The 22,715-nt window shown below is 41.6% G+C and overlaps 1 protein-coding gene across 39 annotated transcripts in view, besides 1 other annotated feature; it reads left to right on the top strand.

The window, feature by feature from the left end:
• Positions 1-22,715, top strand: part of DENND4C (DENN domain containing 4C) — a 143,769-nt gene that overhangs the window by 12,017 nt on the left and 109,037 nt on the right. The gene's annotated exons all lie outside the window — the stretch shown is intronic.
• Positions 8,226-9,090: an enhancer, noted in NCBI's record as "H3K27ac-H3K4me1 hESC enhancer chr9:19250753-19251617 (GRCh37/hg19 assembly coordinates)". NCBI's record gives its function as "activates a minimal SCP1, AML or CMV promoter by ChIP-STARR-seq in naive H9 embryonic stem cells {active_cell/tissue: H9 hESC(naive)}" and the evidence as "EXISTENCE:reporter gene assay evidence [ECO:0000049][PMID:30033119]".

Below are 22,715 nucleotides of genomic sequence, written 5' to 3' on the forward strand. Positions count from 1 at the left end.
GTATTTCCATCAGCAGTGAATGTTAGAGTTCCTGTTCGCATTTTCATTCGTATTTGGTATTGTCAGTTTTTTTGATTGTAGCTATTCTAATAGGTGTGGATTGGTATCTCATTGCTATTTCTTTCTTTTTTTTTTTTTGTTTTTGAGACGGAGTCTCCATTTGTTAACCAGGCTGGAGTGCAATGGCGAGATCTCGGCTCACTGCAACCTCTGCCTCCTGGGTTGAAGTGATTGTCCTGCCTCAGCCTTCTGAGTAGCTGGGACTATAGGCGCATGCCACCATGCCCGGCCATTTTTTGTATTTTTAGTAGAGATGGGGTTTCACCATGTTGGCTAGGCTAGTCTCGATCTCCTGACCTCATGATCCACCTGCCTCAGCTTCCCAAAGTGCTGGGATTACAGGTGTAAGCCACCATGCCTGGCCTAAGTTTTTCCTTTTTAAAGTTAGCTTTATTGAGATATAATTTACACACCATAAAATTCACCAATTTAAAGGGGGGTATCTTGATGTTTTCCAGTAGATTTACAGTTTTGCAATCATTAGCATAATCTAATTTTAAAGGATTTTAATCACCCCAGAAAGAACCATTGTATACATTAGCAGTCACTCTCCAATCCCTCTCTCCTGGACCCCTAGCCCTAGATAACCACTAATTTATTTTCTGACTTTATAGATTTACCTATTTTGGACATTTCATAGAAATGAAGTCATACAATATGTGATCTTTTGTAACTGGCTTCTTTCATTTAGGATAGTGTTTTTCAGGTTCACCTATGTTGTAGTATGTATCACTCCTTCATTCCTTTTTTAAAAAATTCTGACAAAATTAACATAACATGAAATTTGCCATTTTAACCACTTAAAATATGTAATTCAGTGGTGTTCGGCACATTCACAATGTCATGCAAGTATTACCACAAACTAAATGTTCCCAAACGTTTTCATCATCCTAAAAGGAAACGCTGTACCCGTTAAGCAGTCTCTCCCCATTCCCAGTCTCCTAGTCCCTGCTGCCCAGTAATCTGTTTTCTCTCTCTGTGGATTTGCCTATTGTGGATATTCCTACAAGTGGACTTAGGCAATGTGTGACCTTTTGTGTCCAGCTTCTTCGACTTAGCATAATGCTTTCTAGGTCCAGTAGTACTTCATTCCTTTTTATGGCTGAATAATACTACGTTCTATAGAAACACCACATTTTGTTTATCATGACTTGATAGGCATTTACATTGCTTCTACCTTTTGGCTATTCTGAGTAGTGCTGCTATGAATATTTACATACAGATTTTTTTGTTTGTTTTTGAGACGAAGTCTAGCTCTGTCACCCAGACTGGAGTACAGTGGCACAGTCGTCGCTCACTGCAGCCTCGACCTTCCAGGCTCAATTATCTTCCTGCCTTAGCCTCCTGAGTAGCTGGGACTGTGGGTTTGCACCACCACATCTGGGTAATTTTTAAAAATTTTTTTGTATAGTCAGGGTCTTACTGTGTTGTCCAGGCTGGTCTTTTTTCTTCTTTTTTTGAGATGGAGTCTTACTCTGCCGCCCAGGCTGAAGTGCAGTGGCGCAATCTCGGCTCACTGCCGCCTCCGCCTCCCGGGTTTAAGCGATTCTCCTGCCTCAGCCTCCTGAGTAGCTGGGATTACAGGTGCACACCATCACACCTGGCTAAATTTTGTATTTTGAGTAGAGATGGGATTTTGCCATGTTAGCCAGGCTGGTCTTGAACTACTGACCTCAGGTCATCCACCCACCTTGGCCTCCCAAAGTGCTGGGATTACAGGCGTGAGCCTTCTCGCCTGGCCTGCTTGTTTTTAATTTGTCCTATCTCTTGTTTGTTCCTTTTTGGATTACTTGAGTATATTTTAGTATTCCATTTATCTTCACATTGGCTGATTAGCTATATGTCTTGATTTTTAAAAGTAGTTGCCTTGGCCGGGCGTGGTGGCTCACACCTGTAATCCCAGCACTTTGGGAGGCTGAGGCGGGAGGAGCATGAGGTCAAGAGATCGAGACCATCCTGGCTAACACAGTGAAACCCCATCTGTCCTAAAAATACAAAAAATTAGCCGGGCGTGGTTGCACGTGACTGTAGTCTCAGCTACTTGGGAGGCTGAGGCAGGAGAATCGCTTGAACCCGGGAGGTGGAGGTTGCAGTGAGCGGAGATCGTGCCACTGCACTCCAGCCTGGGTGACAGAGCGAGACCCCACCTCAAAAAAAAAAAAAAAAGTAGTTGCCTTAGGGTTTATAATATACACCTTTAACTTTATGTATAACCTGGGACTCTTAATTCAGTACAGTTTCGTTCTCCCCATCTGTGTCTAATTTTCCTCACAAAGGGATAATGCTAGACCTCCCTTACTGGGTTGTTATGAATATGAAATGAATTACTAGATGTGAAATACTTTGAGCACAGCTCATGTTTTTATTCATATCAAGAATAATAGAAAAAAACTTTATTAGAAGTTCTTCAGTTTGCAGATCGCAGGTTTCTTTTCTAACCTACCTTAGCTGTCTGCATGCATAATCACACCCTAGACTAGTAGTTCTCAATTCTGGCTGTATATTCTAAATGGGCAGCTTAAAAAATATTGATAGTAGTGGGCCACCTTCAGAAATTCATATTTTATTGGTCTGATTTTTTTAAAAAAGTGTTCCAGGGCCAGGTGCGGTGGCTCACGCCTGTAATCCCAGCACTTTGGGAGGCCGAGGCGGGCAGATCACGAGGTCAGGAGATCGAGACCATCCTGGCTAACAAGGTGAAACCCCGCCTCTACTAAAAACACAAAAATTAGCTGGGCATGGTGGGAGGCACCTGTAGTCCCAGCTACTCGGGAGGCTGAGGCAGGAGAATGGTGTGAACCCGGGAGGCGGAGCTTGCAGTGAGCCAAGATGGCGCTACTGCACTCCTGCCTGGGCGACAGAGTAAGACTCAGTCTCAAAAAAAAAAAAATGTGTTCCAGGTGGCTCCAATGTATAGTCAGGACGGAGAACCATTACCCTAGACTTTATCACCATGATCTGTAACTTAAAAAATTGTAAGCATTGGGCCGGGCGCGGTGGCTCACTCCTGTAATCCCAGCACTTTGGAAGGCCGAGGCGGGTGGATCACGAAGTCAGGGGTTCGAGATTAGCCTGGCCAACGTGGTGAAACCCCGTCTCTACTAAAAATACAAAAAACTAGCCAGGCGTGGTGGCATGTGCTTGTAATCCCAGCTACTCAGAAGGCTGAGGCGGGAGAATCGCTTGAACCCAGGAGGTGGAGGTTGCGGTGAGCAGAGATCATGCCATTGCACTCCAGCCTGGACGACAGAGCGAGACTCCGTCTCAAAAAAAAAAAAAAAAATTGTAAGCATCTAACTCTGACCTCCACTTCCTTTTCTACTAACTCACATACTCCAGTACCCTATTTTGATATTTCTTGGAATCCAATTTTTTTTTTATTTTTTCAGTTCTCTCACTGGACATTTCTTGGATTCCATCAAGACCTCCAGGCCAGTAGCTACGCCATTTTTTCACTGTCCATCATTCTCCTCATATATTCTCTTCTTAACTTATCCAATTATATTGATTCATTTAATAAAAATTTCAGTAAGTATTAGTGTTCTGTATGTACCATTCTGTGGTGTTGAGTGATAAAACTCTTGTTCTTCTCTTCCTTCATTGTAATCAAGGCAAAACTTCAACCCCGATTACACTCAGTTCTTTGTCAACTCTGTAATTCCTTGAACCTGAGCAGTGGAGTGTGGCTGGAGAAAACAAATACGCTAGCTCGTCTCACTTTAAATTTATGACCACACATATCTATTGTGCCTACACCATTGCTGTGTCTGCTTGTCCTTCTACTTTGTTTGCTAAGAAGACTATGTAATCTCTTTCCTTCTAGACTCTTAGCTGTTTTTTAGAAAATTATTATTATTTTTTATAATAGAGATGAGGTCTCGCTATGTCAAGCAATCCTCCCACCTTGGCTTCCCAAAGTGTTGGGATTGCAGGTGTGAGCCACTGCACTGGGCATGTTTGTTTGTTTATTTATTGATTTAAGTATTGCACATAGTGTTTTTATTCTCTGCAGCGAAAATGATTCCTACTTGCAGACCACTTTTTTTTTTTTAAGCCAACTCATCTATGTTCATCTATGTTGTGACTTCTTGTGTATTTAAGGATTTTGCTTCTGGGTTATCTTCGATATTTTTGTTTTTGTTTGTTTGTTTTATTTTTATTTTATCTAGACCTGCACATCCCCTGTATTATTTTTCCTGGCGAATCATTTTTCTTAGCATATGAACATGCTATAACTCTTAATTCTCTAACTTCAATAGGGATGGCAAAAGGAAAAAAACAAAAACAGCTCATTTCTCACACACACCTTTCCTTCTCATTTATAGCAAAATTTGTCAGAAAGAATTGCTCATTCTCAGTATCTCTACCCTCTAAGATTCCATTTTTTCCCCAACTCTTTCCAGGCTGGCTCTTTTGCACTCCCACCAACTGAAATCACTCTTGTCAGTGTTCTCAATCCGTAAATTACTCTGCCTGTCATCAGCATTTGACACAAGTGATTGATCAGTTCCTGTTTTATAAAAACTTTACTTGGTTTTCTGGATGCCATATATTATCTTTATTCTTTCCTAATTTATGGCAGCTCCTTCTCGGTCTTATTTTCTAGCTTCTCTTTCCTCACCTGAAGTTTGTTGTATCACACCTAGACTTAGGCTTTGTAACTTTTCTTTATCAGTATTCGTCAGTTAGTATTTGACAATTCTTTGAGTATCTTATCTAATGCTATGGCTGTAAGCATTATTAATTTGCTCTTGACTCAGGCCTTGACATGCCTTGACATCTTCATTGAACTCCACACTATAATGGACTGCTTTTTCGTTTTTCAAGACAGGGTCTCATTCTGTCACCCAGGCCGAAATACAGTGATGCAATTATAGCTCATTGTAACCTTGAATTCCTGGTCTCAAGTAATCCTCCTGCCTCAGCCTCCTGAGTAGCTAGGACTTTAGGTGCATACTACCACACCTGGCTAATTTTATTGTAGTTATTGAGACTGGGTCTTGCTGTGTTGCCCAGGCTGGTCTCGAACACCTGGCCTCAGGCATCCTCCCACCTTGGCCTCCCAAAGGACTAGGTTTATAGGTGTAAGCCACTGTGCCCTGCCAGGACTGCCTTTTCTACATCTCTTGAATATTTTAGTAGGCATGTCAATTTTAACTTGTCCAAAAAAGAATTATTGGTTTATTTCCTCAAACCTACCCTTTTCTCAGACTTTACTCTCTCAGTAAATGGTACTATCGTTTACCCACTTAAGCCACAAGCTGGAAATCATACTTGCTTTCTCTTTTTTCCCCTTTTACTTCCAATCCACCAGCAGCAGCTTTACCTTCAAACTATATCCCCAATATTATAATTTCTTGCTGCTCCCACTCCTTTGCCCTAATATAAGCCATTTTTATTATCTCTTTTCTGGGTTATTTTAATTGCCTTCTATCTGCTCTCCCTTGCTTCCATTCTTTTCTCCTTCTAGTTTGTTCTCACAACAGCTAAAATGAAAAACATAAATGGTAACATGTCACTCTCATTTGAAGGCCCCTCATAGTTTTTCATCATATTTAGAAAAAAATCCAAAGACCTAGTCTTAGCCTAAAAGGCCTTACTTCTTTTCTCCTTCACTGACCTCATCTCCTACTACTCTAAGCTCAAGAGCCACTGGCCTTGCTGTTCCTCAAAGACCAAGTTACTTACTGCTTTAAGGCTTTTATTAATTGACTTTTTTCCTGCCTGGAATGTTCTTCCTTTATTGTCATATGATTTGCTTGCTCCTTCATGCCACTTAGGCCCCTGCTTAGATCTTACTTCTTTTTTTTTTATTTTGAGATGGAGTCTTACTCTTGTTGCCCAGGCTGGAGTACAATGGCACGATCTTGGCTCACCGCAACCTCCGCCTCCTGGGTTCAAGCGATTCTCCTGCCTCAGCCACCTGAGTAGCTGGGATTACAGGCATGCGCCGCCTCGCCTGGCTAATTTTTGTATTTTTAGTAAAGATGGGGTTTCTCCATATTGGTCAGGCTGGTCTCGAACTCCCGACCTCAGATGATCTGCCCGCCTCAGCTTCCCTAAATGCTGGGATTACAGGTGTGTGCCTCTGCGCCTGGCTAGATCTTACTTATTTACTTCTTCAGAGAGGTATTCCCTGGTGACACCATAAAAATAGGCCCCTCCCTTCCACTTTCTCTCTGTTTTGATTTACTTTTCTTCATAGCACCTATGGTTTTTTTTTTTTGAGACCAAGTCTTGCTCAGTCACCTAGGCTGGAGTGTAGTGGCACGATCTCAGCTCACTGCAGCCTCCGCCTCCTGGTGATTCTCGTGCCTCAGACTCCAGAGTAGCTGGGATTACAGGCGTGAGCCACTACGGCCAGCTAATTTTTGTATTTTTAGTAGAGATGGGGTTTCACCATGTTGGTCATGTTGGTCCCGAACACCTGACCTTGGTTGATCCACCCTTCTCGGTCTCCCAAAGTGCTGGGATTACAGGTGTGAGCCACCATGCCCGGCCACACAGCATCTATGTTTTTGAAAATATAAGTTTACTAATTATTTTCCAACCGTAATATAAGCTCCATAAAGACAAGTATTTGGTATTTTCATTGCTTTAATTCCCAGCATTTAAAACGATGTTTGAGACCCTGTCATAAGTTATTAATATACCAGTAGTAATTTTTGTTTTTTTTTTTTGAGATGAAGTCTCGCTCTTATCCCCCAGGCTGGAGTGCAATGGCACGATCTTGGCTCACTGCAACCTCCACCTCCTGGGTTCAAATGATTCTCCTGCCTCAGCCTCCCGAGTAGCTGGGATTACAGGTGCCTGCCACCATGCCCGGCTAATTTTTTTTGTATTTTTAGTAGAGACAGGGTTTCACCATGTTGGCCAGGCTAGTCTTGAGCTCCTGATCTCAAGTGATCCACCTGCCTCGGCCTCCCAAAGTGCTGGGATTATAGGTGTAAGCCATCGCGCCTGGCCACCAGTAGTAATTTTTTAACAAACACAAGAACTCCTTTCCCTTTAGCCACAAAACAGTAAAATAGTTATGAATAATCCAAGCAAAAAAGTGTGCAAGACCTGAGTGAAGAAAATCAACAAATTCATTTTATGTGTGTGTGTTTGTTTTTGACATGGGGCCTTGCTGTTTCACAGGCTATAATGCAGTGGCACTTACGGCTCAAACAATCCTCTTGCCTCAGCCTCCTGTGTAGCTGGGATCACAGGCATGTGCCACAACACCCAGCTAATTTTAAATTTTTTTGTAGGGGCTAGGTCTCACTTTGTTGCCCAGGCTGGTCTCAAACTCCTGGGGTCAAATGATCCTCCCACTTCAGCCTCCCAAATTGCTGGGATTGCAGGCATGAGCCACTGTGCCTAGCCAGGTCAAGATTTTTTTCTCAACTCTTTATGTCAAAATACTGTCTTCAAAAGTTATATGTGGCTGGGCGCTGTAGCTAATACCTGTAATCCAGTGCTTTAGGATGTCAAGGTGGGACGATTGCATGAGGCCAGGAGTTTGAGATCAGCCTGGGAAATGTAGCAGGACCTCCATCTCTACTGTACTAGTCTGTTCTCACATGGCTGACATACCCAAGTGACTCACGCCTGTAATCCCAGCACTTTGGGGGGCTGAGGCGGGTAGATCACCTGAGGTCAGGAGTTCAGGACCAGCCTGACCAATATGGTGAAACCCCCATCTCTACTAAAAATACAAAAATTAGCTGGGCATAGTGGCGTGCACCTGTAATCCCAGCTACATGGGAGGCTGAGACAGGAGAATTGCTTGAACCCAGGAGGTGGAGGTTGCAGTGAGTAATTTTTGTAGTTTTTGTAGAAATGGGGTTTCGCCACGTTGACCAGGCTGGTCTTGAACTCCTAATCTCAAGTGATCTGCCCCCGCTCAGCCTCCCAAAGTGTTTAGATTACAAACGTGAGTCGCTGCACCCGACCCCAAAGTCTTAACTCATTTTGACATTAACTCAAAAGTCCACAGTCCAAAGTCTCATCTGAGACAAGGCAAGTTTCCTCCGCCGATTAGCTTGTAAAATCAAAAGCAAGTTAGTTACTTCCTGGATTCAATGGGGGCACAGGCATTGGGTAAATACAGCCATTTCAAATGGGAGAAATTGGCCAAAATGAAGGGGCTACAGGCCCCATGCAAGTCTGAAATCCAGCGGGGTGGTCAAGTCTTAAAGCTCCACAATGATCTCCTTTGACTCCATGTCTCACGTCCAGGTCACACTGCTGCAAGAAGTGGGTTCCCATGGTCTTGGGCAACTCCACCCCTGTGGCTTTGCAGGGTACCTAGCCTCCCTCCGGTGTGCTTTCATGGGCTGGTGATGAGTGTCTGCAGCTTTTCCAGGAGAACGATGCAAACTGTGGGAGGATCTACTATTCTGGGGTATGGAGGACGGTGACCACCTTCTCACAGCTCCGCTAGGCAGCACCCCAGTGGGGACCCTTTGTGGGGGCTCCCACCCCACATTTCCCTTCCACACTGCCCTAGCAGAGGTTCTCCATGAGGGCCCCGCCCCTGCAGCAAATTTCTTCCTGCCCATCCAGGCATTTCCATACATCCTCTGAAATCTAGGCGGTGGTTCGCAAACCCTAGTTCTTGACTTCTGTGCACTCACAGGCTTAACATCATGTGGAAGCTTCCAAGGCTTGGGGCTTGCACCCTCTGAAACCATGGCCTGAGCTGTACCTTGGCTCATTTTAATCACAGCTGGAGTGGCTGGGATGCAGAGCACCAAGTCCCTAGGCTGCACACAGCAAGGGGATGCTGGGCCCAGCCCACAAAACCACTTTTTCTTTCAAGGCCTCTGGGCCTGTGATGGGAGAGGCTGCTGTGAAGACCTCTGACATACCTTGGAGACATTTTCCCCCTCTGTCTTGGGGATTAACATTCCACTCTTCGTTACTTATGTAAATTTCTGTAGCTGGCTTGAATTTCTCCTCAGAAAATGGGATTTTCTTTTCTATTGCATTGTCAGGATGCAAATTTTCTGAACTTTTATGCTCTGCTTCCCCTGTAAAAGTGAATGCTTTTAAGAGCACCCAAGTCACTTCTTGAAAGCTTTGCTGCTTAGAAATTTCTTCTGCCAGATACCCTAAATCATCTCTCTCAAGTTCAAAGTTCCACAAATCTCTAGGACAGGAGCAAAATGCTGCCAGTCTGTTTGCTAAAACGTAACAAGAGTCACCTTTGCTCCAGTTTCCAACAAGTTCCTCATCTCCATCTGAGACCACTTCAGCCTGAACTTTATTGTCCATATCACGATCAGCATTTTGGTCAAAGCCACTTAACAAGTCTCTAGGGAGTTCCAAACTTTCCCACATTTTCCTCTCTCCTTCTGAGCCCTCCAAACTGTTCCAGCCTCTGCCTGTTACCCAGTTCGAAAGTCGCTTCCACATTTTCGGATATCTTTTCAGCAGTGCCCCACTCTCCTGGTACCAATTTACTGTATTAGTCTGTTCTCACGCTGCTAATAAAGGCATACCTGAGACTGGGCAATTTACAAAGGAAAGGGGTTTATTGGACTTACAGTTCCATGTGGCTGGGGAGGCCTCACAATCATGGCAGAAGGCAAGGAGGAGCAAGTCACGTCTTATGTGAATGGCAGCAGGCAAATAGAGAGCTGGTGCAGGGAAACTCCCTTTTCTTTTAAAACCATCAGATCTCGTGAGACTTATTCACTTCCATGAGAACAGCATGGGAAAGACCCTCCCCTGTGATTCAATTACCTCTCACCAGGTTCCTCCCATGACATGTGGGAATTGTGGGAGTTACAATTCAAGATAAGATTTGGGTGGGAACACAGCCAAACCGTATCATCTACATTAAAAAAAAGATTAACTGGGTGTGGTGCTGCACATCTGTAGTCATAGCTACTCATCAGGAGGCTGAAATGGGAGGATTGTTTGAGCCCAGGAGTCTAAGGCTGTGGTGAGCTATAATGGCACCACTCTACTCTAGCCTGAGTGACAGAGTGAGATCCTGTCTCTTAAAATAAAATAATTATTTGGATTAATTTTTCATTCCTTTCAATGTGGTTGTGTTATCAGTTTGATAGCTTCATTGGCTCACATATCTTTATTGGTAAAGCTAGGCATTTAACCAAATCAGCGTGTGTATACACACACACACACACACACACACACACATACTTTTTTTTTTTGGCGTAGTCTTCCTCTGTCACTCAGGCTAGGGTGCAGTGGCACTATCTTGGCTCACTGCAACCTCTGCCTCCGGGGTTCAAGTAATTCTCATGCCTCAGCCTTCCAAGTATCTAGGACCACAGGCACGAGCCGCCACACCTGGCTAATTTTTTGTATTTTTAGTAGAGATGGGGTTTTGCCGTGTTGGCCAGGCTGGTCTCAAAACTCCTGACCTCAAATGATCTGCTCCCTGTGACCTCCCAAAGTGCTGGGATTACAGGCGTGAGCCAGCATACCCAGCCAGTCAGTATATTTCATAATGGAAATTAAAAGTGATTCCTCTCTTGACTTTTAACCTTTAGATGCATATGCCTTCTTACGTAGTGTTGTTTGGACTTCTTAATGTTTAGAAGTTTTTAATTAGTTGCCAATATTTTAAAACTTGGACATTTATATAAAAATCCTGATTTCTTTAAAAAGGTAGAAAGGAAGCTCTGATTTTTCCAAGTTCATTTGGCAACTATTGGATGGTTCCTAGTAGTAGTGGCAGCCTGCATTCTCTCTAGTTCCCACAACTCTTAATATCATGCCCAACGCCTTTTAGGCATTTGTTATTTGCATCCCTTCTTTATAACCCTCTTATGTATAAAACTTTCAGTGGCAGGTACAATGGTAGAGAATTAAACTAACTGCCTTGTGTTCTGAAAAAGGAACTGATTTTATCTGAAATGATTTCAGTTTTGTAGTTCTGTGACCCAGTCAACATGACTTTGATAATGCTTTCTAATGGTAGTTACCAAGCCCCTATTTTAAATTGCTTAAATGTAGCAAATAGCTTTGATAAAACTGTACTTTCTTTGTGGTTTAACAAAGTTCATCATTCATTTTGCATGGTTTGGGTTACCAGGGAACATACAGCTGTTTTTGAACCTTTAAAAAATATCTTTTATTACAATGAGAGGAATTACATGAACTGCATTTAGTTTTTTTTATCTTTTTTTTGAGACAAGGTCTCACTCTGAGCGACCTAACCCAGTGCATTTAGTCTTGTAATTGAAGTTAATAGTGTTTTGTTGATATTAATGGCATTTATTAGAATGTGTGCTGTTCTAAACAGTAAGGTGGCTGAGCAAGGTGGCTCATTCCTGTAGTCCCAGTGCTTAGGGAGGCTGAGGCAGGTGGATTGCTTGAGCCCAGAAGTTCAGAACCAGCCTACGCAACATAGTGAGATACCATGTCTACAAAAAATACAAAAATTATAGTTGGAAAATGAATTTTAATTGTTAAACTGTATATCTAAGTTGATTTTTACAAGTCGTTTTATTTTTTCTTCAAAAGCTTTTGTTAATACAAAGTATCAATATGGGTATGGCGAAAGAGAACTCTTGTACCCTATTGGTGGGAATGTAAATTGGAACAGCCATTATGGAGCACAATATGGAGGTTCTTCTCAAAATTAAAAATAGAACTACTGTACAATTCAGCAATCCCACTTCTAGGTATATATCCAAAGGAAGTGAAATCAGTAGATTGAAGAGATATCTGTACCCCCATGTTAATTGTAGCATTATTCACAATAGCTGAGATGTGGAAGTAACGTTAGTGTCCATCGACGGATGAATGTGTAAAGAAATTGTGGCATACACACACACAGCAGAATACTATTTAGCCATAAAAAGAAGGAAATCCTGTCATTGGTGACATTATGGATGAAACTGGGAGATATTATGCTAAGTGAAATAAGCCAGATACAGAAAGACAAATATTGTATAGTCTCATTAATATGTGGAATCCAACAAGTTGAACTCATAAAAGCAGAGCATACAAGGGTGGTTGCTAGTGCCTGGGGAGGAGGTAGGGGAAATAGGGAGGGGATGTAATGTACAGCATGGTTACTATAGTTGATTATACTGTATTGCTTACTTGAAATTTGATAAAGAGAGCAAATTGTAAGTGACCCATGGTCACTATGGGTGGTGGTGTTGATTGTGTTAATTTGACTGTGGTAGTCAGTACATAATGTGTATATATATACCAAATCATCATTTTATATACCTTGAATGTTATATATATATTTTTTCAATTACATGTTTTAAAATTAAAAAGTTGGCCGGGACCGGGTGTGGGGGCTCGTGCCTGTAACCCCCGCACTTTGGGAGGCTGAGGCGTGTAGATCATCTTGAGGTCAGGAGTTCAGGACCAGCCTGGCCAATATGGTGAAACCCTGTCTGTACTAAAAATACAAAAATTAGCCAGGTGTGGTGGTGGTGGAGGGGGGGCCGCCTGTAATTCCAGCGACTCGGGAGACTGAGGCAGGAGAGTCACTTGAACCCCGCTGGGGTGGAGGTTGCAGTGAGCCAAGATTGTGCCGTTGCACTCCAGCCTGGGTGGCAAGAGCGAAACTCTGTCTCAGTCTCAGTGGCTCAGGAGGTGGAGGCTGGAGGGCCACTTGAGGCCAGGAGTTCAAGACCAGCTTGGGTAGCATAGAGAGACCCTGATCTCTACAAAAGTTAGAAAAAATTAGCTGGATATGGTGGTGCGTGCCTGTAGTCCCAGCTACTCAGGAGGCTGAGCTAGAAGGATCACTTGAGCCTGGGAGTTTGAGGCTGAAGTGAGCTATGATTGTGCCACTGCATTCCAGCCTGGGCAACAGAGTGAGATCCTGCCTCCAAAAAAAAAAATTTTTTTTTAATGTAAAAACCATCAAAATACTGTTATCTACACATCACTAATGTTTACAATCAACAGGTTTATACATTTATTTTAGGTAAATCTAAAGGCATCCTATATATACATTTTATGTGAGAGGAAAGTATTAATAAAATCTGAAATTGAAAAGTAGCTTTTATTTCATACAGACTGGTTTTTATCAGGAATGAAGAAGGGTAATTTTTTAATGCTTTTTTTATAATGATAAAGGAATTAGTTGAAAGGATATAACAATTCTTAATGTTTATGCCTTTAATAACAGTTTCAAAATACATGAAGCAAAAACTGATAGACTGAAAGGAGAAAAAGACAAATCCATAATTTTAGTCAGAGATTTTAATGCCATTCTCGTACTAGTTGATAGCACAAGTGGACAGAAAACCATCAAGGATGTAGTAGACTTGTTACAACACTATTTACTTGACTTGATTTATAGAGCCCTCTGTGCAACAACAGAGAGACATTCTGCTAAAGTGCACATGGAATATTCATCAAGACAGACCACATTCAGGCTGAGCATGGTGTCTTAACTCCTGTAATCCCAGCACTTTGGGAGGCCAGGGTGGGAGGATTGCTTGAGGCCAGGAGTTCAAGACCAGGCTGGGCAACATAGCAAGACCCTGTCTCTGCAAAAAAATAAATGAAAAAAAAAAAAAGACCAGATTCTTAGCCATAAAACAAGTCTTGATAACTATGAAAGAATTTGGGTTATACAAAGTACATTCTCTGACCATAAGGCATTTAAGTTAGAAATCAGTAACAGAAAGATTCTTGGAAAATTCCCAAGTACTGAATTTGGAAACTGAAAAACATACTTTATTTTTAAAAAAATTTTTCTTTTTTTTCTTTTCTGTTTTTTTTTTTGTTTTTTTTTTTTTTTTTGAGATGGAGTTTCGCTCTTGTTGCCCAGGCTGGAGTGCAAGGGCGCAATCTCTGCTCACTGCTCACTGCCATCTCCACCTCCTGAGTTCAAGCGATTCTCCTGTCGCAGCCTCCCGAGTAGCTGGGATTACAGGCATGCGCCACCACACCCGGCTAATTTTGTACTTTTAGAAGAGAGAGGTTTCTCTGTGTTGGTTAGGCTGGTCACGAGCTCCCAACCTCAGGTGATCTGCCCGCCTCAGCCTTCCAAAGTGCTGGGATTACAGGCGAGAGCCACCACGCCTGGCACTTGCTTTTCTTTAAATTTTATTTTTTTACTCTTTAAAATTAAATCTGTGTCTTTTTTATGTTATTTTTTATTTTAATTTGTAGTTTTTTAGTAAGAAACCTCATCCGAGAAAAAATACTTTAAAATTATCTATTGGGCAAAGAAAATATTTTTTAAAAAAGGAAATAAAACAAGGCCGGGTGCAGTGGCTCACGCCTGAAATCCCAGCACTTTGGGAGGCCGAGGCAGGTGGATCACGAGGTCTGGAGATCGAGACCATCCTGGCTAACATGGTGAAACCCTGTTGCTACTAAAAATACAAAAAATTAGCCGGGCGTGGTGGCAGGCGCCTGCAGTCCCAGCTACTCAGGAGGCTGAGGCAGGAGAATGGTGTGAACCTGGGAGGCGGAGGTTGCAGTGAGCCGAGATCACGCCACTGTACTCCAGCCTGGGCGACAGAGTGAGACTCCGTCTCAAAAAAAAAAAAGGAAATATATTTTGATCCAGGTGAGGTTTCAGAAAACAGAGTGAAGAAAAGGAAAAAAAGGAAAAAAGAATTAAAGTTTAAAAAAGAAAACGGCTATAAAAAAATATTCTGAACAGAATAAAAAGAAGGCCGGGTGCGGTGGCTTGCACCTGTAATCCCAGCTACTCAGGAGGCTGAGGTGTGAGAATCGCTTAAACCCAGGAGGCGGAGGTTGCAGTGATCCAAGATCACATCACTACACTCCAGCCTAGGTGACAGAGTGACACTCTGTCTCAAAAAAAAAAAAAAAGAAAACACAACATATCTAGATTTGTGGGGTACCACTAAAACATTGCTTAGGAAATGATTTGTAGCACTAAATAACTAAATTAGAAAAGATCTCAAATCATTGACTTCAGCTTCCACCTTAAAAAACTTGAAAAAGAAGAGCAAATTAAACTCTACATAAGCAGAGAAAAGAAAATAATAAAGATCAAAGTAAAATTCAAAGAAATATGAAACAGAAAAGCAAGAGAAAAATCAATGAAACCAAATGTGATTTTTAAAATGGTTAAACTTCTAACCAGGCTGATCAGACATAAAAGAGAAGATACAAATTACTGATATCAGAATTAGAGAGGTGACATCACTACATATTCTAAAGACACTAAATGGATAGTAATAGAATATTATGAACAACTTTATGCCAATAAATTTGACAACTTAGATGGAATGACAAATTCCTTGAAAGACACAAACTACAAAAGTTTATTCAGGAAGAAATAGGGGCTGGGCAAGGTGGCTCATTCCTGTAATCCCAGCACTTTGGGAGGGGGAGAATCGCTTGAGCCCAGGAGTTTTAGACCAGCCTGGGAAACATGGTGAGACCTCATCTCCAGAAAAATAAATTAACTGGATGTGGTGGTTCATGTCCACGGTACCAGCTACTTGAGATGCTGAGGTGGGAGGAACACTTGAGCCTGGGAGGTTGAGACTGCAGTGAGCTGTCATTGTGTCACTGCACTCCAGCCTGGGCAACAGAGTAAGACCCTGTCTCAAAAAATCAATCAATCAATCTATCTATCTATCAATCAAGAAGAAATAGGCAAGCCAAATAGCCTCGTATGTGTTAAAGGAATTGAAATCATAGTTTAAAAATCTACCCGCATAAAGATCCAGACTCATGTAATTTCACAGGCAAATTCTATCAGACGTTTAAGGAAGAAATAACACCATTTCTCTACAACCTTTTCCAGAAAATTGAAGAGGAGGAAATTTTTCCCAACTTGTTCTGTCATGTTAGCATTATCTTGATACCAGAACCAAAGATATTACAGGAAAACTATATGCCAGTATTCCTCGTTAACATATATAAAATTTCACACAAAATTGTAGCAAATAGAATTCAAGAACATATAAAAAGGATGACAGATCATGACCCAAGTGGGGTTTATGCCAGAAATTCAGGATTGATCTATAACTTGAAAATCAATGTAATTTACCATATTAACAAATAAAAGAAAAGCCATAATGATCTCAGTAGATGCAGAAAAAGTGCTTGATAAATTCTAATATCCATTCTATTTTCTTTAAATTTTAAGTTTTTTTTTTTAAAGACAGATTCTTGCTCTGTTTCCAGGTTGGAGTGCAGTGGCGTGATCTCGGCTCACTGCAGCCTCTGCCTTCTGGGTTCAGGAGATTCTCCTGCCTCAGCCTCCAGAGTAGCTGGGACTACAGGTGCACGCCACCAGGCCCAGCTAATTTTTGTATTTTTATTAGAGACGGGGTTTCACCATGTTGGCCAGGCTGGTCTTGAACTCCTGACCTCAGGTGATTTGCCTGCCTCGGCCTCCCAAAGTGCTGGGATTACAGGTGTGAGCCACCCTGCCTGGCCTAAATTTTAAGTTTTTATGGGTACATAGTAGGTGTATATATTTATGGGATACATGAGATATTTTGATACAGGCATACAGTGTGTGTTCACATCAGGGTAAATGGAGTATCCATCACTTCAAGTGTTTATCATTTCTTTGTTCGAACATTCCAATGGTACTTTTAGTTATTTTAAAATATACAATAAATTATTGTTGACTGTAGTCATCCTGTTGTGCTATCAAATACTAGATCTTATTCATTCTAACCCTATTTTTGTATGCATTAACCGTCTCCATTCCGCCCCCGCCACCTCCCCACTGCCCTTTGCAGCGTCTGATAGCTATTATTCTATTTTCTGTTTCCATTAGTTTAATTGTTTTAAGTTGTAGCTCCCACAAATGAGTAAGTGAAGTGAAAACGTGAAGTTTGTGTTTCTGTGCCTGGCTTACTTTACTTAATATAATGACCTCCAGTTCTATCTATGTTGTTCTAAATGACACAATCTTGCTCTTTTTTATGGCTGAATAGTACTCCGTTGGGTATATATACCATATTTTCTTTTCTTTTTTCTTTTTTTTTTTTTTTTGAGATGGAGTTTTGCTCTTGTTGCCCAGGCTGGAGTGCAGTGGCGCGATCTTGGCTCACTGCAGCCTCCGCCTCCCAGGTTCAAGCGATTTCTCCTGCCTTAGCCTCCCGAGTAGCTGGGATTACAGGCATGTCCCACCACTCCTGGCTAATTTTGTATTTTTAGTAGAGACGGAGTTTCTCCATGTTGGTCAGGCTGGTCTCAAACTCCTGACCTCAGGTGATCCGCCCGCCTCGGCCTCCCACAATGCTGGGATTACAGGCGTCAGCCACCACGCCTGGCTCGAATGCCACATTTTCTTTATCCATTTGTCTGTTGTTGAATAACTTAGGGTTGCTAAGTTGAAGCAACTTAGGTTCCTTCCAAATCTTGGCTATTGTGAATAGTGCTGCAATAAACATGGGAGTGTCAGTATTTCTTTGATGTACTGATTTCCTTTCTTTTTGGTATATATCTATCATAGGGGATTGCTGGATTGTATGATAGTTCTGTTTCTAATTTTTTGAGGAACCTCTATACTATTCTCCATAGTTACCATACTAGTTTGTGTTCCCACTAACAGTGTATGAGGGTTCCCTTTTCTTCATATCCTTGCCAGCATTTGTTATTGCCTGTCTTTTGGACCTAAGCCATTTTAACTGGTGTGAGATGATATCTCATTTTAGTTTTGATCAAAGAAATTTTGATGCATTTCTCTGATGACCAGTGATGTAGAGCACCTTTTCGTATACCTGTTTGACATTCATATGTCTTCTTTTGAGAAAAACCTATTCAGATATTTTGCCTGTTTTTAAAACTGGATTATTAGATTTTTTTCCTGTAGAGTTGTTTGATGTCCTTATATGTTCTGGTTATGTTATGTTATGTTATGTTATGTTATGTTATGTTATTTTTGAGATGGAATCTTGCTGTGTCACCCAGGCTGGAATGGGGTGGCATGATCTCGGCTTACTGCAACCTCCACCTCCTGGGTTCAAGCAGTTCTCCCACCTCAGCCTCCCGAGTAGCTGGATCTACAGGTGTGTGCCATCACACCCGGCTAATTTTTGTATTTTTAGTAGAGACGGGGTTTCATTATGTTGGCCAGGCTGGTCTTGAACTCCTCACCTAGGTGATCCACCCGCCTTGGTCTCCCAAAGTGCTGTAATTACAGGTGTAAGCAACCATGCTCGGCCTATGTTCTGGTTATTAATACCTTATCAAATGGATAGTTTGCAAATATTTTCTCCCATCTGTAGGTTGTCTCTTCACTTTGTTGATTGTTTCCTTTGCTGTGCAGAAGCATTTTAACTTGATGTGATCCTATTTACCTATTTTTGCTTTGGTTACCTATGCTTTTGGGGTCGTAATCAAGAAATCCGGTCTGGATGACAGAGTGAGACCCTGTCTCAAAAAGAAAAAAGAAAGAGATCTTTCCCCAGACCAGTGTCCTGGAGAGTATCCCCAATATTTTCTTGTAGTAGTTTCATGGTTTGAGGTTTTAGACTTAAGTATTTGTCTTGATTTGATTTTTGTATATGGTGAGAAATAGGGATCTAGTTTCCTTCTTCTGCATATTGATATCTAGTTTTCCCAGCAATATTTGTTAAAGAGACTGTCCTTTCCTCAATGTCTGTTCCTACCACCTTTGTCAAAAATAAGTTCGTTGTAGATGTATGGATTTATTTCTGGGTTCTCTATTGTGTTCCATTGGTCTCTGTGTCTTATTTTAATGCCACTGACATGCTGTTTGGCTACTATAGCTCTAGTATAATTTGAAGTCAGATAATGTGATTCTTCCAGTTTTGTTTTTGCTCAGAATAGCTTTGACTATTCTGGGTCTTTTGTGGCTCCATATAAATTTTAGGATTTATTTTTCTATTTCTGTGGAAAATGTCATTGGTATTTTGATAGGGATTGCATTTAATCTGTAGATTGTGTAGTATGGACTTTTTTTTTTTTTTAAACAACTTTGAGTCTTTCAATCCATGGACATGGAATATCTTTTTCCTTTTTTTTGGAGATAGGGTCTCACACTATTGTACAGGCTGGAGTACAGTGGCACAATCACGGCTCACTGCAGTCTTGACCTCCTAGGCTCAAGAGATCTTCTCGCCTCAGCCTCCTCAGTACCTGAGGACTACAAGTGAATCCCACCAGGCCGGGCTAATTTTTTTTTTTTTACTCTTAGAGACAACTTCTTGCTATGTTGCCCAGCTTGGACCCATTGGCTCACTCAAGCAGTCTTCCCACCTTGGCTTTCCAACATGCTGGGATACAGACATGAGCCACCATGCCTGGTCTCTTTCCGTTTTTTGTGTGTGTGTTCTCTTTAATTTCTTGCATCAATTATTTATTGTTTTAGTTGTAGCAATTTTTTACTTCTTTGATTATTAGGTTAACCTTAACTTAGGTTAACTTATTAAGTACTTTATTTTATTTGTAGATACTGTAAATGGGAGTACTGTTTTCATTTCTTTTTCAGATGGGTCATTGTTGACATATGGAAATACTGATTTTTACTGATTTTTGTATATTGATTTTATATCCTGAAACTTTAGTGAATTTATTAGTTCTTTTTTTTTTTTTTTTTTTTTTTTTTTTTGAGACAAGTCTTGTTCTGTCGCCCAGGCTGGAGTGCAGTGGTGTGATCTCAGCTTACTGCAACCTCCACCTCCTGAGTTCAGGGGATTCTTCGACCTCAGCCTCCAGAGTAGTTGGCACTACAGGCGTGTGCCAGCATGCCTGGCTAATTTTTGTATTTTTAGTAGAGATGGGGGTTTCACCATGTTGGCCAGGCTGGTCTTGAACTCCTGACCTCAGGTGATCCACCCACCTCAGCCTCCCAGAGTGCTGGGATTAGAGGCGTGAGCCTCTGTGCCTGGCTGAATGTATTAGTTTTCATAGTTTTTGGTGGAGTCTTTACATTTTTCCAAATATATCATATCTTTTTTTTTTTTTGAGACAGTCACCCAGGCTGGAGTGTAGTGGTGCTATCTCGGCTCTCTGCAACCCCCACCTCCCAGGTTCACATGATTCTCATGCTTCAGCCTCCCAAGTAGCTGGGACTACAGGTGTGCACTCCCACACCCAGCTAATTTTTGTATTTTTAGTAGAGATGGGGTTTTGCCATATCGGCCAGACTGGTCTTTAATTCCTGGCCTCAAGTGATCCATCTGCCTCGGCCTCCCAGAGTGCTGGGATTACAGGTGTGAGCCACTGCTCCTGGCTACATTTTTGTATTTTTTGGTAGAGATGGGGTTTCACCATGTTGGCCAGGCTGGTCTCAAACTCCTGACCTCAAGTGATCCACCTGCCTTGGCCTCCCAAAGTGCTGGGATTACAGGTGTGAGCCACCATGCCTGGCCTCATATCATTTATAAATAAGAGTAATTTGACTAGTTCCTTTCCAATTTGGATGTCTTTATTTCTTCCTTATGTAATCGCTCTAGCTAGGACTTTCAGTACTATGTTGAATAACAGTATTGAAAGTGGGCATCCTTGTTGTGTTTCATATCTTAGAGGAAGGCTTTTAATATAATACTAAATGGGGAAAACAGTCTGTTATGGGTCTGTTGTATATAGCTCTTACTGTGTTAAGGTATGTTCCTTCTATAACCAATTTTTGAGAGTTTTTGTCATGAAAGGATATTGAGTTTTATCAAATGCTTTTTCAACATCAATTGAAATGATCATATGGTTTTTGTCTTTTATTCTGTTGATAGGCTGTATCACATTGATCGATTTGTTTATTTGGAACTATCCTTGTCTCCCTGGTTTAAATCCCACAGGGTCATGTTGAATAATCTTTTTAATACGTTGTTGAATTTGGTTTGCTTGTTGTTTTTTGTTTGTTTGTTTATTTGTTTTTTTGAGACAGAGTTTCACTCTTGTCACCCAGGCTAGAGTGCAATGGCATGATCTCGGCTCACTGCAACCTCTGCCTCCTGGGTTCAAGCAATTTTCCTGCCTCAGCCTCCCAAGGAGCTGGGATTACAGGCGTGCGCCACCGTGCCCTGCTAATTTTTTTGTGTTTTTAGTAGAAACAAGGTTTCACCCTGTTGGCCAAGCTGGTCTTGAATTAGGTTTGCTATTGTTTTGTTGAGGAATTTTGCATCAATGTTCATTGGAGATAGTGGCCTGTAATTTTCTTCCCATTTTTTTTTTTTTTAAGACAGAATCTCGCTCTTGTCACCCAGGCTGAAGTGCAATGGCACGATCTGGGCTTGCTGCAACCTCTGCCTTCCGGGTTCAAGCGATTTTCTTGCCTCAGCCTCCCGAGTAGCTGGGGACTACAGGCGCCCACCACCACGCCCGGCTAAATTTTTTTTGTATTTTTGGTAGAGACAGGATTTCACCATGTTGGCCAGGCTGGTCTCGAACTCCTGACCTCAGGTGATCTGCCCGCCTTGGCCTCCCAAAGTGCTGGAATTACAGGTGTGAGCCACTGCGCCTGGCCAATTTTCTTTCTTTGATGTGTCTTTGTCTGGTTTTGGTAACAGGTTCATACTGGCCTTACAGAATAAGTTTGGAAGTATTCTGTTCACTGTTTTTCAGAATAATTTGAGTAGGAATGGTATTAGTTCTTTAAATCTTTGGTAAAATTCAGCAGTGAAGCCATTAGGTCCTGGGCTTTTCTTGGCTGGGAGACTTCTTACTACTGCTTCAATCTCATTTTGTTGTTGGTCTTTTCAGGTTTTGGATGTCAGTATGGTTCGGTTTTGGTAGGTTGTATGTTTCTAGGAATTTAGCAGTTTCTTCTACGTTTTCCAGTTTATTGGTATATAGTTGCTCATAGTAGTTCCTTTTTTTTTTTTGAGACGGAGTCTCACCCTGTTATCCAGGCTAGAGTGCAGAATGCAGTGGCGCAATTTCGGCTCACTACAACCTCCACCTCCCAGGTTCAAGTGATTCTCCTGCCTCAGCCTCTTAAATAGCTGGGATTACAGGTGCCTGCCACCATGCCTGGCTAATTTTTGTATTTTTAGTGGAGATGGGGTTTCACTATGTTGGCCAGGCTGGTCTTGAACTCCTCACCTCAAGTGATCCGCCTGCTTTGGCCTCTCAAAGTGCTGGGATTACAGGCGTTAGCCACCATGCCTGGCCAGTAGTTTCTAATGATCTTTTGAATTTCTGTGGTATTGCTTGTAATGTCTCATCTCTGATCTTATTTATTTGAGCCTTCTCTCTTTTTTTCTTAGTCTGGCTAAAGGTTTGTCCATTTTGTTTATCTTTTCAAAACACCAAGTTTTTTTTTCCTTTCATCTTTTGTGTTTTTTCTGTTTCAATTTGATTTATTTCTGCTGTGATCTTTTTCTTCTACTAATTTTGGGTTTGGTTTGCTTTTGCTTTTCTAATTCTTTAAGATTCATTTTTAGGTTGTTTATTTGAAGTTTTTCTACTTTTTTGATGTAGGCACTTTTGCTATAAACTTTCTTCATAGTACTGTTTTTGCTGTATCCTGTAGGTTTTAGTATGTTGTGTTTCCATTTTCATTTGTTTCAAGAAATTTTAAAATTTTCTTTCTTTTTTTGAGACAAGGTCTCACTCTGTCACCCAGGCAGGAGTGCAGTGGCACAATTACAGCCACTGCCACCTTGACCTCTTGGGCTCAGGAGATTCTCCCACCTCAGCCTCCTAAATAGCTGGAACTACAGGTTTACACCACCAGGCCTGGCTAAGTTACTGTATTTTTTTTTAGAGTTGAGGTTCTACCATGTTGTCCAGGCTGGTCTCGCACTCTG

Source organism: Homo sapiens, chromosome 9 (genome assembly GCF_000001405.40).
Source record: "Homo sapiens chromosome 9, GRCh38.p14 Primary Assembly".
Lineage (NCBI taxonomy): Eukaryota > Metazoa > Chordata > Mammalia > Primates > Hominidae > Homo > Homo sapiens.